Source organism: Homo sapiens, chromosome 2 (genome assembly GCF_000001405.40).
Source record: "Homo sapiens chromosome 2, GRCh38.p14 Primary Assembly".
NCBI classification, from domain to species: domain Eukaryota; kingdom Metazoa; phylum Chordata; class Mammalia; order Primates; family Hominidae; genus Homo; species Homo sapiens.
This window is the reverse complement of record NC_000002.12, coordinates 45,967,968-45,983,135: the sequence shown is the minus strand read 5'-3', so window position 1 is coordinate 45,983,135 and position 15,168 is coordinate 45,967,968. Positions and strand designations below refer to the sequence as shown.

Sequence of the window (15,168 nt, the reverse complement as noted above, 5' to 3'; positions counted from 1 at the left end):
ACTTGAGGTCTTGCCTGGGAACAAGAATGTCAGCTCTACTGAAAACAACTATACTCACCCATTCTTAGATGCCTAGCTTAGGTGTGCCTGTTTGTGAATGTAGACATGTTGACTCTGCCATGGTCTCCCTCACTGCTAAGGAAGTACGAGATCACTGTGCCCACTCTATTCCTACACATACCCTGAAGGCATGGTGGACCTATACTGAGAATAGAGTCTTGGTCTCTCAGGAATCACCTCATAGGGGTATGAATGACAGACTAAGGCGAAAAAGTGGGGACGTTGTCCCAGGTGACCAAGAAATCCAGTGTGGGGGTGGAAAGAGCTACGTGACCCTCAGTTGGGACCACTAAAAACTCTAAGGTATCAGAGAACAGAGGGAGGAGGATGAAGGAGTCCACACAAGAGCATGCCACAGCATCAGACTGACCAAGAGACCAACACAAAGACGGCATGTGTGCAGGGGGACATGTCACATGTGCGCTTGCTGAGGAGGACACAGATACAATGGGGTGAGTGAGAGTCACAGAGAGAACATGGAGAGGAAGACAATGGCAGAAAGAATTGTGAGATTAAAGAAAAAAAAATGTGACACCAGTGGAGATGGAACATTGTTTGGTTACCACACCTGGAAGTGCAGGCAGGGTGTGAGTCCACCGCATGCTAAGACACACAGACATGAGATGGGGGGGACCGGCCGAGTGTTCACGGTGCAGGACACCCAAGAAGTCCATCACCAGAGCACCTTTTAATAGGAAGGAGGGCATTGAAAGCATGGTGTTTAGGGCTACATGTGTTTCTGGTGTGTATGTGTGTATGATGTGTGTATGCACAGGCATCACATTAAAGGTGGTTGCACAAAAGAACGAACTCAAAGTTTGGTCCCCAGCAGTTCAGTAACCCGGCAGAGGGCAAGCCCATCACCCTGAGGGGCAGATACACTGACACTAAGGGAGACTGGCCTCTGGAAGCACAAGGTGGTGGCGGGGAGAGCCAGGACTGGGAGTCAACTCCACCAAGCTAAGAAACCCAGAGCCTCCCTCTCTCAGTCCCTGGCAATTTGTCCCTTGGTGATACATGTCAAGTTTGGGAACACACTTCACTGGAGACTTCTTCTCACTGCTCAATATGCCAGGAAAGACAGTCAGAAGAACTGGGTCACAGATCAAGCTGGGTTCTGAACATTTCAAATCTCAACCCTTTAACCTGCATGGCATGGACTCTTATCGGACCTTTCCCTCCAAAAAAGTGCAGAAGAGCTTTAGAGTCCTGCAGAGGCAGAGACCTGCAGGTGATGAGACTGAGATCCTTGAGGGAGGGACTAGTGTACTCCTCTTTGTTTCCATGGGACACAGCATAACGCCTGTCATACAGGACATACCCAGTAAATGTTCAATGGAATGTCCATAGGAAGGAAATAAGGCAGACAGCAAGCAAGCCATCTCTTTCTTTCATTTCCTCGTGAAAGCAACAGTGATGTACTGGGGTCATGATCCTAGACCAGGAGTCGGGAGGTGCAGGTGCTGGCTTGCAGTCTTAACCACAAGAGAGCCCCTGCAAACAATGTTGGTGCTCTGGGCTCAGACTAACCTTCACAGACACAGAAGGCTCAGTCTAAGCCTTGTCCTTTGTTGCTTTCCAGAGACAGTATGAAAGCAGAAGGAGAGAGAAGATGGGAAATGCCTTAGATGCCAGGATGCTATTTGACTCAATTATTAAGAAGCAGGTAGAAGTCTCTATAAGTCAGTCCTCTTGGAAGTCAAATTGTAGACCAGCTGATTATAAACCTACCCAAGGCCTTTCTCTCTAACCCGCGATTCTAATAGCCTATGACTACACAGAATTTATTTCCCCCAGAATTAAGAGCATGCTCTTGAAATCAAGTGTTCTGATAATACCTACATCCATATTCACAACTGTCATCTTCCTCAAAAAGGTTTTTTAATCTATCAGTGGGACTATCATTCTCGTAATTGCTCAGTTAGGTGAACCTAGCTTCATTGTTGCATTTTCCTGCTTCCTTACCTCTACCAAACTAGGCAATCTGATGCTAGTTTCTAAGATTAAGAGACAACGTAGTGCAGTGGTCAAGGGCTCAGGCTTTAGAACAAACTGCCTGGGTTTGAAAGTGGCTCTTAGCTGTGTGATTTTGGGCAGGTTAATTTCACTCTCTGTGCTTCTATTCTGTTGTAAAATGAAGATAATAACATCTACCTCATGAAGGTTTTTATGTGATTAAATAATATATGTTAAAGTGCTTCAATCAGGGCACGGTAAGTGCCCAGTGAATGTTGACTCTTTTTATTCCCGTGGTTGTTGCCGCCTCCTAAGTATTCCTTGGGCTTGCTCATTCCACACCACTCCCCCATCAGCTAGCTCATTAGACAAGGTTCCTGCTTGTGTTTCTATTACTGTTTATTACCTGTGAGGAGCTAGTGACACATTGGTTAGCCATTTTAGTTCTGATGAGATGATGCAATAAAAGAATTCATATTTTTCTTGTGGGCTTCAGTGCTGGGATCACACTGCACTTGGCATAACATCCAAGGGGATAGAACTGACTTGGACCTGTGCTCATCCTGCGGATGGTGTCTCATGCCAGAAGACCGTGGACAGCTCCCTTTGTTTTTTTATCAACACAATGAAATGACAGGGTCTCAGGCAGAGAAGGTTTTCTTGGGAACCACAGAAGAGGCAGTGAAGGGAGGGGCTGGCGGTGAAGAAGCCCAGAATTTCCGTGTCACCAACACTTACCTGGTCGGGGGTCTCCTGCTTCTTTAACCCAGCACACTTTGTGATTATGAGCTCGTGGCACCGCTTGTGGACCACGCAGGTGCAGACTGCAAATAGCAAAGACAGGAAGGCTGAATGACACTCAGGAAAGGGAGTGTCCCTCCCAGGATCTATTCAGGGCTTGGTGGAGTGACAAGGGGAGCCAGGCCCCTTCTGCCACTGAGCCTTAATTTAATACCCTCCCTAAAGTCTTTTATACAGCTATTTCAAAACACTGTCCTATCAGAGCCATCAGTTTCCTAAATGCTCCAGAGAGCAAGGTAACATTTATATTCAAAGGACATTAGCAGTTTTCTCCAGTTGAGGGAGTACTGATCAATTTTCTCACTTCAATACGCCAAGGTCAAGGAAAAACTTCCTTCCAGCCCTCCCATGGAGCACTGCCTATTAAAGGTGTTGTAGTGGCCTCGCACCCCACTCGGGACCATGCAGGGTGGCTGACGTGATAGGGGGAACTGCAGCAGGCGGTGCAGAGGTTCTGAGGCTTTTTTATCTGGTTGTGTCCTGACATACCAAACTTCAAAATTCCCATCGACTTTAATACTTCCACAAGTGGCCTATATCTGTGTTGTTAGTGTCATGGAGCAATGTGGGCAGTAGGTGGCTGAAAAGGTAAGTAACTGTGTGCGTGTTACCCCAAGGAACAGCAACTTCCACCAGACACTACCCCATGGGTGAGACCCAACAGTGCTTGGCGAGGAGACAGGAAAACCTCCCTGCTCTAACCTCAGCAAAACCACCGCATGACCATGCCACATTTCCACCCTCCAATTTTGTACAACTTAAACTTGCATTTGTAGTCAATTAACTGGAAAGGAATAATCTTCAATACCTTCAAGTGAGCTTTACATTTTTAAGAGCTAATGATCACACAGCCAAGACCAAAAAAAGGGATTAGACAAGGACCTTTCAGTGATACCAAGTACAACGAGCAGGCGAGGAAGCTTCTTCAGGGAGGGAGACAGGGAGGGATCTGGCAGAATACACAGACCCAGTTCAGGACAAAGTGGGACTTTCAAAGAGCCTCCAACTGAAGCAGAATGTCTCATTCAGAAAGATGAAAGTGCCACCTGCTCCAGTTGAGACACAAAGGCCGGGTGGATTGGGGACCTGCTGAGATCACAAGGACGCCTGGAGACAGGTGGCACCTGCAAATGCCTCCCATATATATTCCCATATATGCAGAAGTAATGGTCAAGTGGGAACAAAGAAAGCATGCAAGCTGTGGAGAGCCTCCAAATGTCATCAGACTGAGCACCTGCCTCCTATGGGTGCCAGTGATCTGGATCTAACCACGGGCCTCTGAAGATTTAATTCATAAATGCCTCTTACCTTGACACTGGTATCCCTGCTTTCCTATGACACCCCTGAAAAGAAGAATAACATTTTTTTAAAAAAAGTGAAATCTTACCAGGTCAAAAAACAAACAGAAAAACCACCCAATTTGGGCCACCACCCACATAGCACCAAGTACATGAAGTATGCAGAATATTGTAATTTCTCTCTCACTTGCAAGGTGCCTTAAATGTCTCCTTCCAGAAGCCCACAGAGGGCAGTCCCAGTGCTTGGGGAGGTGCAAGGTTTGGTCAGCATCAGAGCTTGATTTCCTATACAGAGAGCCATTCCTGTGTGGTCAGCAATGTTCTGGAAAGCCACAAACGACCCTGCTTGCTCCTGGTAGGCATTGAGCAGTGAAGCATACCTTTCCTTGTGGATAGAATGGACATTCCTCTTCTCCCAGCACCAGGACACGCTCTGTGGGCCCTCTAACTGTGGAAGAGGGCTGCAGCTGGCAGGTATATTTCCCTGGGCAGTCCAAAGACCACCAATGGTTCTAAGCCAGTCTGTGCCCCGAACTAGAGGTTCAAGAGGTTGTCTAGGTGAAGGCCAACATTAGAGGTTCCTTCCATGGCCAGAGTGGTGTTCCCAGGGCAAGACAGAAAGTCAGCATGGACACAGAACTATCACACAAACCCGGCCTTACCCCTGTCCTTAGTGTACTAACTACAGATGGTCAGGGAGCTCCCTGAAGTTCCCAGCCCAGTGGGAACCAGAAGCTATTCAGGCTCCACCCCAGGGAACCTAGAGCTCAGTGGCCTTTGCCCATGGACTTAGAGGAGACCTGGATCTGTAAGACCGACCACTCAGTTCATGACCAAATGTAGCAAGTGAAGGTCAGACAGCTGGGTCTGCCCTGGTAATTGGAAGTATCTGTGGCTGGAATGGGGCATTATTTCTGCCTCAGTTGGGCTGGGCTTGCTCTGAGCTATATCATCTCAGATGTCTACGCCAACCTGGATGACTGGCTTTGTGACATCATGAGGATAAGACAAGTGACTACTGGACACCTGGAATCCAAGGGGTCCTCAGAGCCCAGTGCAGATGTCCCTGGCTGGGTTCATACTGCATCCTGGCCTCACTCGCTCTCCCCAGTTGGATCCAAGGGTTCATGAAGGCAACCTCTACATCAGCTTCAAAGAGCTCAGACAGCTTGCTAGAAAGGCTGGTGGGATGTCAGGAAAAGTATCAGCATTAAAAGTCAGACTACTAGGGGTAGAATCATACTTCTGACACTTCCTAGCTAGAGGACATCAGGCCAGTCTCATTTTCATTTCTGAGCCTGGGTATTGTTAGTGGAATGGGGCTGGCCTTCGATCATCTTTATCTCAGCCCCTCTCCTCCTTCCAGATTTTTTTTTTTTTTTAAGACAGAGTCTCACTCTGTCACACCCAGGTTGGAGTATAGTATAGCGATCTCGGCTCACTGCAGCCTCCACCTCCAGGGTTAAAGTGATTCTCATGTTTCAGCCTCCCAAGTAGCTGGGATTACAGGCGCACACCACCATGGCCAGCTAATTTTTGTATTTTTAGTAGACACAGGGTTTCACCATGTTGACCAGGCTGGTTTCAAACTCCTGACCTCAAGCAATCTGCGTGCCTCGGCCTCCCAAAGTGCTGGGATTATAGACATCAGCCACCGCACTTGTGCCTGGCCTCCTTCCTGATTTTCTAACAAATCCTAGGCATCAGATAATTTCACTTGTAAATAATTCAGTGAATTATTTTTCAGTGGATTATTATTCAGTGGAATCCTCACCCTGAGGTGTGTCTGTAAAAGATAAGTATTCTTTTTAAAAACACACAATCAGCTGGGTACAATGGCTCACATCTATAATCCCAGCACTTTGGGGGGCAGAGGTGGGTGGATCACTTGAGGCCAGGAGTTCTAGATCAGCCTGGCCAACATGGCGAAACCCTACCTCTACTAAAAATACAAAAATTAGCCAGGCGTGGTCGTGTGCTCCTGTAATCCCAGCTATGTGGGAGGCTGAGGCATGAGAATCACTTGAACCTGGGAGACAGAGGTTGCATTGAGTGGAGATCATGCCACTGCACTCCAGCCTGGGCAACAGAGCTAGACTCTGTCTCAAAACAAGACACACACACACACACACACACACACACACACACACACACACACACACAGTCACAATATCCTTGTTGGTTACTAAAATCTTAACTCTTTTCATAAAATTCTAGGTATAAAGTTGCCAGAAACCATCGCTTCTTTCCATGTATTTCCCCCTATGTACCAAACACACACTTAGCCTTCCATAATAGTCCCCTGCATTCAGATAAGGAAGAAACGAGGCACACCAGCATTCTTTAAATGAGGTGCATAGTCTCCCCTACCCCATCCCCGACATCTTGTAACAGAGATGTTGTAATTAGAGGTTCCCAAGAGAAAGGCTTACCAGATGAAGTCTCTGCAATGGGAGCAGTAGGTGGGCTGCCGAAGATAGGTGGCCATGAACTTGTGGCCGTTGACCTGATGGACCCTGCGCCTGACGGCCCCCTGCCGCTTCCTCGGCCGCATGCGTTCCCTGAACACACGCTCTTCATTGTCTTTAGGGGCTGGGGAAGGACAAGAGCAGGGAAGAAAACGGAGTCTGGGTTAGTGCACCTTCAAAATGAGCTCCCTCTGGAGAGCTACTCCATCCCTGGGGGAGTGGAGCTGGGGTGGGTGAGAGGTAGCCTTTGTGTGTGGAGGGACTCGGGGGTCTGAGGAGTCCCACTGAGCAGCTGGAGTGAGCGAGCACATGTAGGGTGGAAAGGCCCAGAGTGTGCCTATTCCTGCTATATCCTCAGATTCCATCCAATCCAAATTCTGCTCCAGGGCTGGCTGCCCTTTCCTCCCCACACAGGCTACAGCTGGTTTCAAGGGCTTGGGGGTCAAAAGGCTCAAGGTTCGCATCTTACTGCAACTCCTGAGCAGTGTGACCTTGGATAGGTGGTGTTTCCTCCCCCTGAGCATCTGAGCGCATCTCCCTTTGTAAATGGCAATGGCAGTGCCAGCCACAGGGGGTGGCTTAGAGGACGCAATGAGATGAATCTCCACACCCTAAGCTTCCTGGCTCAAGAAGTAGCTGCCTAATAAATCTGACTTCTTCCTTCTTCCTCTTACCTAGACTAAGCCAACCAAGAGCATTTTCCCAGAGGTCAAAAGGAGAGGGAAATATGACACAGTGAAAGTAGTTTCTCGAAGGCTCAAGACCACCACCATGGGCTGTAAAGATCCCACTGGAGTCAAAAAGATCTTCCCAATACCTTCCTTCCCTCCAGTTCTGAGACTGCCCCACCAACTGAGAATGCCTTGCAAGGGGACTCACAGATGATCACAAAAATAATAAAGATAATTGTTATGGGCTACATATTTTTGCCCCCTCAAAATTAATACATTAAAGTCTTAACCCCCAAAGTGATGCTATTTGGAGATGGGACCTTTGGGAGGTAATTAGGTTTAGATGAGGTCGTGAGGGTTGAGCCTCCATGATGGGATTAGTGTCCTTATAAGAGGAGGAAGAGACCTGAGTGAGTGAGCTCTCTGTCATGTGAGCAAGGAAGAGGGCCCTCAGCAGATCCCACCCATACTGGCTCCCTGATCTTGGATGTCCACCTTCCAAAACTGTGAGAAGTGAATGTCTGTTGGTTAAGACACCCAGTCTTTGGTATTTTGTTATTGCAGTCTGAGCTGATTAAGACAAGGATGACCATGATAAATGTTTATCGTGGGCTTACGCTCTGGCAAGTGCTATGCTAAGTGTGTTATATCTTAGTGATACAATACATCTCAATGAACCCTCGAAACAACTCCACTTGAAGGGTACTGCTATTAGCCCCATTTTACAGGTATGCAAAGCGAAGAATAGAGTTTAAGTAACCTACTCCTGTTAACACAGCTACTCAGTGGGGAAGCCCAGATTCTAACCCAGAGAGTGAGAAAGAGGCCATTGTTCCTCCACCCACACGCTGCTCTGAAGGACGGCCTGCACTCCTTACAGAAAGTCCCCAAGCTCTCATCTGAGTGGCTTTCATCACCAAAGAGTCCAGCTGCCTGTGGCTTCCCCAAGAACACAGTGGGCAGGCTTTGGGCTTCTTCCTAGGTTTCTGACACCTTCTAGAAGGTCTCCTAGAAGGTCCCCTGCACAGGTCAGCTTAAAATGCACTGGAAGGCTCTGTGCCCCCAAATATCTCCAGGCATCAGCGAGTGCCTGACATCTCACCATAACAGGGCCAGTCTTCAGGGGAAGAAGCATTGATCCCTCCTGGACCTCTCTGAATGTAAGGTTCCCTGAAGTGGAGGTCATATGTATGACCTGAACAACAGATTAATCCAAGGGCATCTTGTTATTGGAGGGTAGGGTAGAGGGAAGGTAAAATTGAAGGAGGTAAAAGGTGAGAACAGGACCAAATGCGCAGCGTGTGCTTCCAAGGACGCAGCAGCCTCTGAGCAAACAGGCAGCTGTTTATTGGAAATCTGCCCTCAGCGTTCCCAGACTGCATCTTCAACACAGGCTCAGATGACCCGGGTGGAGGTCTGCTTGTGGATCCCCTTGCTTCTTGACCCCTAGCCCACCTGGGTTTCAATTGGTGCTTATTGTTTCAAAAAGTCTCTGGCATCACCGACCTTCTGGGTACAGAAAGCTCACCACCTCCTACCCTGCTCCAACCTAGGGGTCTTGACCTGCTGACCAAATTCTCACGGGAGGACCCAGGTCTGTTCTAGTATAGAGACAGCAACACACACAGCTGCAGAAGTATGGCAATCACCATTCGGTGCTGCCATCATAGGCAAGTTTTTGTTTCGCTTCATACTTTCACAATGTGTAGAATGTTCTACTATTTTCATAAGCAAGAACAAAAATATGACAACCAAAAACCAAATCTATTCAGTAGCCCTTACTTGCTACAAACTTACCTACAAAAATCCAATCCAGAAACATCATCCTGGGCATCATAGGACACAGGATGCAGGTTATTTTCGTAAAAGAGCACCCTTAACTCCTTTCACAGGATTCACCACGGAATACATTTGAACAGTAAGCCCGTCTCCTAATGCATTTAAGATGCAATTTGATTTACAAATCTCTCAAATTGACTAGTTGTTTTCATCCTGGGAAACTATTTTCAGTTAAAATGGTGATGGGTCCAATCTAATTTTCTCAAAGGAACACTGTTATGACGGTGGTTACAGTCCTTCCTAAGAGTCTTATTTCCCAACTTTTTACAGAAATGACGAGCAATGAAACCAATCGTTCTAAACTGTGTTGACATCAATCCAATAGGGCAATATGGCAACCAATTAATTTGACTCTATTCATTTCAAAGCTGTCTCAGCGGGGTGCCCTGATACCTGGAGGGAAGCTGTTTAAAGTTGGCAGGGGTGTGGAGGGGGAGTCTCAGGCACAGGCTAGGCAGACAGCCAAGGATAACTCCTGTAAGTCAGAGTTCTAAGTTCAACTTCCTCCAAGGTTTCTATTACTATTGCCCCAAAGGAGCATCTGCACTGCCTTTTAAGTCAGATTTGATGTCAGATATGGAAAAACAGAAGGTCACAGGAGGGAAAGAACATGGGTAAACTTCATGCTTCAAGTGAGGCTTGTGTGCAAAGCTACAAAGCAGGTGACAGGAGAAAGGGGTTGGAGCCTGTGGCTGCTGAAAACACCCCAATTCCACATTCCTCTGGGCAGGAAAGCCACGGGTCAGGCCAGAGTATCCTCAGCACTGTCACCCACAGGTGGAGAAGAAAGTGGCCTATACAATGTGAAAAGGGGAGCTACTAGGTCCCTCAGTCCCCAAGAACCTCCCTACTGGGGCCTGGAGTCCACCACCAGAAACGGATCCCTTCAGCATTTCCCTCCGCTATGAAAGGTCTCTTCCAAAATGTAGATCCCACATATGTATTAACTTAATTCTGGGCTCTCTATTTTGTTCCACTCGTCTATATGTCTGTTTTTATGCCAGTACCACACTGTTTTAATTGCTGAATTTTTGTAATATATTTTGAAATCAGGAAATGTGATGCTTCCATCTTTGTTCTTTTAACTCAGAATTGCTTTGGCTGTTCAGTCTTTCATGGTTCCATATGACTTTTAGGATTGTTTTTTCTGTCTTTATTGAAAAATGCCTTTGAGAATTTGATAGGAACCATATTAAAGTTGCAGTTCCTTTTAACAAAACATTAATTCTTTTATGGGCATTTTAACAAACATTAATTCTTCCAAGCCAAGAAGAGTCAACTGATCTTCAACAAGAGTGCCAAGAATATACAATGGAAAAAGGATATTCTCTTCAATAAATGATGTTGGGAAAACTGTACATCCAATGCAAAAGAATGAAACTGGATCCTTACCTTTTACCATACACAAAAATCAACTAAACGTGGATTGAATACTTAAATGTAAACACTGAAACCATAAAGCTCCTAGAAGAAAACATAGGGGAAAACTTTCTTGACATTGGTCTTGGCAATGATTTCTTAGATATGACACCAAAAAGGCAACAAAAGCAAAAATAAACAAGTTGGACTACATCAAACTAAAAAGCTTCTGCACAGCAAAGGAAACAATCGACAGAATAAAAAGGCAACCTGAAGAATGGAAAAAAATCATTTGCAAACTGTATATTTGAGAAAGGGTTAATATCCAAAATACATAAGAAACTCCCACAATTCAATGGCAAAACCAAATAATCCAATTTAAAAACAGGCAAAAGAACCGAGTAGACTTTTCTCTAAAGACATACAAATGGCCAACAGGTATACAGGTATTTAATAAGATGTTCTACATCACTAATCATCAGGGAAATACAAATTGAAGCTACAATGAGATGGCACTTCATACCTGTTAAGATGGCTATGATAAAAAAAAAGAATGATAAGTTTTAGCGAGGATGTGGAGAAGAGCGAACGCTTGTTCACTGTTCATGGGAATGTAAAATTGTACAGCCACTATAGGAAACAGTATCGAGGTTTCTTAAGAAACGAAAAATAGAACTACCATTTGATTCAGCAATTTCACTTCTACACATCCAAAGGAATGAAAGTAAGGACCCTGAAGAGTCCTCATGCATCTGCACTCCCACATTCACTGCAGCGTCATTCACAATAGCCAAGACATGGAAGCAACCTAAATGTCCATCTATGGATGAATGGTTAAAAAAATATATGGTGTATTCATCACATACACACAAAAGAAAACACAAGGCGGAAAGGTATGTTCCAACTACTTAGAAAACATTAACATTGGTCATTCGTTGACACTGGTGGAATTACAGGTGATTTTTACTTTTCTCCTTGTGCTTCTTTGTATTTTCTAAAAAGAATCTCTATTGCTCTTTTTAAAAAGATGATACAACAAACATTGAAAAACCATAATTCAAAAGAGATTGTCTTCTCAATCTCTTACACTTACACTAAGACTCAGTGTTCTACTGTCTTCAACCCTGGTTACACAGATGACTAAGTAAAAGCCAGAGAGAACCACTTGATACTTTTATGAAGTGTGAGGCTAAAGGAAAGCTGAAGCAGATTTCTATGTCCTTAGCATAGCTTTCTACCTTGACGTAAATAAAATGCTTTGTTACAATTTCTAAAAAACGAAAAAAAGAAGAAAATATGGTGTATTCATGCAATCGAATGTTACTCAGACACAGAAAAGAAGGAAATCCTGCCATTTGGGGTAACATGCATGGGAGGATATTGGCTAAGTGAAACAAGCCAATGGCAGGACAAATACTACATGATACCACTTATATGAGGAATCTAACGTGGTTGAACTCATAGAAGCAAGAGAGCAGAATGGTGGTGGCCAGGGGCTGGGAGAAAGGAGGAATCAGGGAGATACTAGTAAAAGGGCACCAAGTTCCAGTTATGCAAGATGAGTAAGTCCTAGAGATCTATCATGCAATTTTGTGCCTATAGTTAACACACTGCATTGTATACTTAATTTGCTGAAAGCGTACATCTTATGTTAAGCATTATCACAAAAAAAATAAATAAAATGCAACTCTCATAGTAGAGGTAATATGCGTGTGTCTGATGTATAAAATAACAGATACATAAATGTATGTATATGTGTATGTATATATAGTATGTATAATTTATATATTATATATTGATCCATAATATAGTATAGTATATATAATATGTATGATATATACATATATAGTTTTGCTGAACTATTTGAAGGTTATAGACGTAGTGACACTTCACTCTTAAATACTTCAGTCTTTATCTCCTAAGAACAAAGACATTCAGCTACATAATCACAATAACAGAGTCAAGAAATTTAACACTGATATGACATTATCTAATATAGAGTTCATATTTGAATTTCCCCAATTGTTTCCCAAGTTTCCTTTGTAGTTTCTGATTTTCACCCAGGAGCTACCCAGAGCTCATGGGGTTGCCATATCTTCTTAATCTTAGTCTAGAACAGTCTCCTTTACTGTTCTAGATACATAAATGTATCTTTTTTAATGATACATTTATGTAGCATCCAGGATGTTGTCACATTGAATGCTTCACAATCTGAATTTCTCTGATTGTTTCCTCCCAATTAGTTTCTGATTAAATGGCAAGACCAGCACAAAGGGCTATGTATCAACAAATTGAAATATATATATCAAGATCCCCATAGATAATAGCTTAAAGGACACAAACATAAAATTTTCATAAGATACTGACTATAATCAGGAATTTTGAAATGCAAAGCAAAACAGTTTTGGCATACACTGACATACCATTTAATACCTAAAAAAGTAACCAATTTGTTTTAAAATTATTATCCATTATTGGCAAGTCTACTATGAAACTGACATTCATTCACTGCTACAGGCAATGCCAGTTGACATGTTTTCAGAAAGCAGTATCACAAGACACAGAGACTGCACAGGGAAGGCCACAAAGAGATTCACATCCTTTGATTCGGCAACTCCTTAGGAATTAACTCTAAGTCAATAATTAAACAAACTAAAAGCTATATCCTTATAGATGTTTCCCTTTGCATATCTATATTAGCCAACAAACAGAAATGACTTGACTGTCTACTATTAGGCCAATGGTCTGATGAATCACATTACAACGACAGCAACTTTAAGAGGGTGAAGAAAGACCACAGAAACCTGGAGAAATGTGTTGTAATATTGTGAAAAAAGAATGAACAATAATACACCCCAATGTCAAGCAAATTTGCAGGCTGAAGATAACGTAAGAACGGCGCTCCACTAGGATGATGGGATTATATAGGCTGACATTTGAAAAAGTGTTCTCTAATGCTCTTTAGTGACTTTTTAAAGCTTTCACTTGCCTAAAAAGTATTAGGTAATGAGGTGCTCCCTCATGCTGCAGGAGTGGGGGGTTGCTTGGCACAAACAGGAGGTGAGGGAACTGCAGCTTGCCGTGGAGAAGGGGAGAGAAGAGGGAAACCACCGGCTTCCCAGCTGCCTGTGCTTCTGGACTGAGTAAACGCTGGGCCCGCTGCACACCAGAGTTGCCGGATCCATGCCCGTTCACCTCTGAACCGCTCCAAAAGATGCTCGCTGCTGGCACTGGATGCACTCAGCCGTGCTCAGCCAGCATGACAGTTCATTTGCCGTGACCTCTGAGGCAACATCAAGGTTGGCTGACCTCCCAGAGGACCCATTTGGCTCTTTGGAGGTCCGTTGTTTTATGCCTGCATCTGCCTCACTGCAGAAGGGGTGAACTTGAGTCAAGGAAAGGCCAAGACAAAGCTGGATAACTTTTGGGAAACTCTCTATGGAAATGGAGAACTTGGCTGTGGGGATGTAACAAGAATTCACAAAGGCATAAATAAGGCGAAGCAGAGACGTCCTCTGAAGCAGCTTCAAGATTCACAGTAACCCCAACCTCCAACAACATTCCAGGGATGGTTTCTCCTTGATTCAATTAGGCTATGAACTTCAAACTCCAGAAGGTTTTATATCAATGAATATTTTACAGCCCCAATGCACGGGATAATCTCTCACAGGCTGTAGGCAGGTGACAAGAGGAGCAAAAATGGGGTCTGTACCGTGCAGTTCTTCTTCTGTTTACCTAACTTCACCTGGCCCGTTTTCTTTGGGGGTGAGACTTCTCAGTCTGCACCACAGGAACACTCAGGGACTCAGGGAGAGATGGCCCCTGGCACCAAACCCTAGACCACATTTTCTGGCCAGTCTGGTCATTGAAGTTTTCACTGCTCCACTGTCCTTTCTCTTACCCACCACGTCTCCTCCCACACAAAAAGCAAGCTGGAAAAACTGAACGCCCTCCTCATGTGGGGTCAGGGGCACCCACAACCTCAGTGTTCTTAGATTGCCTTTCAGTTTAGGAATATTCAGCAGATAATTTCTTTTTCTAAAAAAACTTTTTTATTTCAATAGCTTTGCGATACAAATGGTTTTTGGTTGCACAGATGAATGACATGGTAGCGAAGTCTAAGATTTTAGTGTACCTGTCACCTGAGTTGTGTACATTGTACCCCAATAGGTAGTTTTTCATCATCACCTCCCTCCCATCCTTCTCCTTCTGAGTCTCCAATGTCCATTATACCACTTTGTATGCCTTTGCATACCCTTAGCTTAGCTCCTGCTTTTAAGTGAGAACATGCAGTCTTTGGTTTTCAATTCCTGAGTTACTTCACTTAGAATAATGGAATAATGTCCTCCAAGTCCATCCAAGTTGCTACATAAGACATTATTTCATACTTTATTATGGCGGAGTAGTATTCCATGGTGTGTGTGTGTGTGTGTGTAATATTTTCTTTATCCACTCATTGACTGATGAGCACTTAGATTGATTCCATATCTTTGCAGTTGTGAATCGCTAACAGTGAATTTCTAACACACACAGACGTATGCCTGGATGCCAGCAATGCCTTCCAGAGTATATGGAGCCAAGAACAAGGGTCAACCTTGCCTGGGCCAGACTTGCCAACATGCATGATCTTGGGGCACCACTGTCATTCCTCACTGCAGGACAGTCCCCTACCCTTTGTGTTCAGGGCACACAGGGATCTTTCCCCAGGCAGGTGTG

General features: G+C 44.6%; 1 protein-coding gene across 21 annotated transcripts in view, besides 2 other annotated features; it reads right to left on the bottom strand.

The window, feature by feature from the left end:
* Nucleotides 1-15,168, bottom strand: part of PRKCE (protein kinase C epsilon) — a 536,712-nt gene that overhangs the window by 204,855 nt on the left and 316,689 nt on the right. For 20 of the 21 annotated variants that reach the window (XR_007078551.1, XR_939695.3, XM_005264428.2 and 17 more), the window contains 3 exons: nt 6,548-6,707; nt 4,126-4,160; nt 2,755-2,840 (listed from right to left, as the gene is read on the bottom strand). Coding sequence is in view for 18 of the 21 variants with exons in the window: in XM_005264428.2 (XP_005264485.1) it covers nt 2,755-2,840; nt 4,126-4,160; nt 6,548-6,707 (281 nt within the window). In the remaining 3 variants the exon portion in view is untranslated. Of the gene's footprint in view, nt 1-2,754; nt 2,841-4,125; nt 4,161-4,495; nt 5,064-6,547; nt 6,708-15,168 lie in introns of those variants that run through there. The other variant, XM_011532982.3, reaches the window with a different exon arrangement.
* Nucleotides 8,132-8,181: an enhancer, noted in NCBI's record as "active region_15699". NCBI's record gives its function as "activates an Ori minimal core promoter by ATAC-STARR-seq in GM12878 lymphoblastoid cells {active_cell/tissue: GM12878}" and the evidence as "EXISTENCE:reporter gene assay evidence [ECO:0000049][PMID:35858748]".
* Nucleotides 9,143-9,692: an enhancer, noted in NCBI's record as "NANOG hESC enhancer chr2:46200583-46201132 (GRCh37/hg19 assembly coordinates)". NCBI's record gives its function as "activates a minimal SCP1, AML or CMV promoter by ChIP-STARR-seq in naive H9 embryonic stem cells {active_cell/tissue: H9 hESC(naive)}" and the evidence as "EXISTENCE:reporter gene assay evidence [ECO:0000049][PMID:30033119]".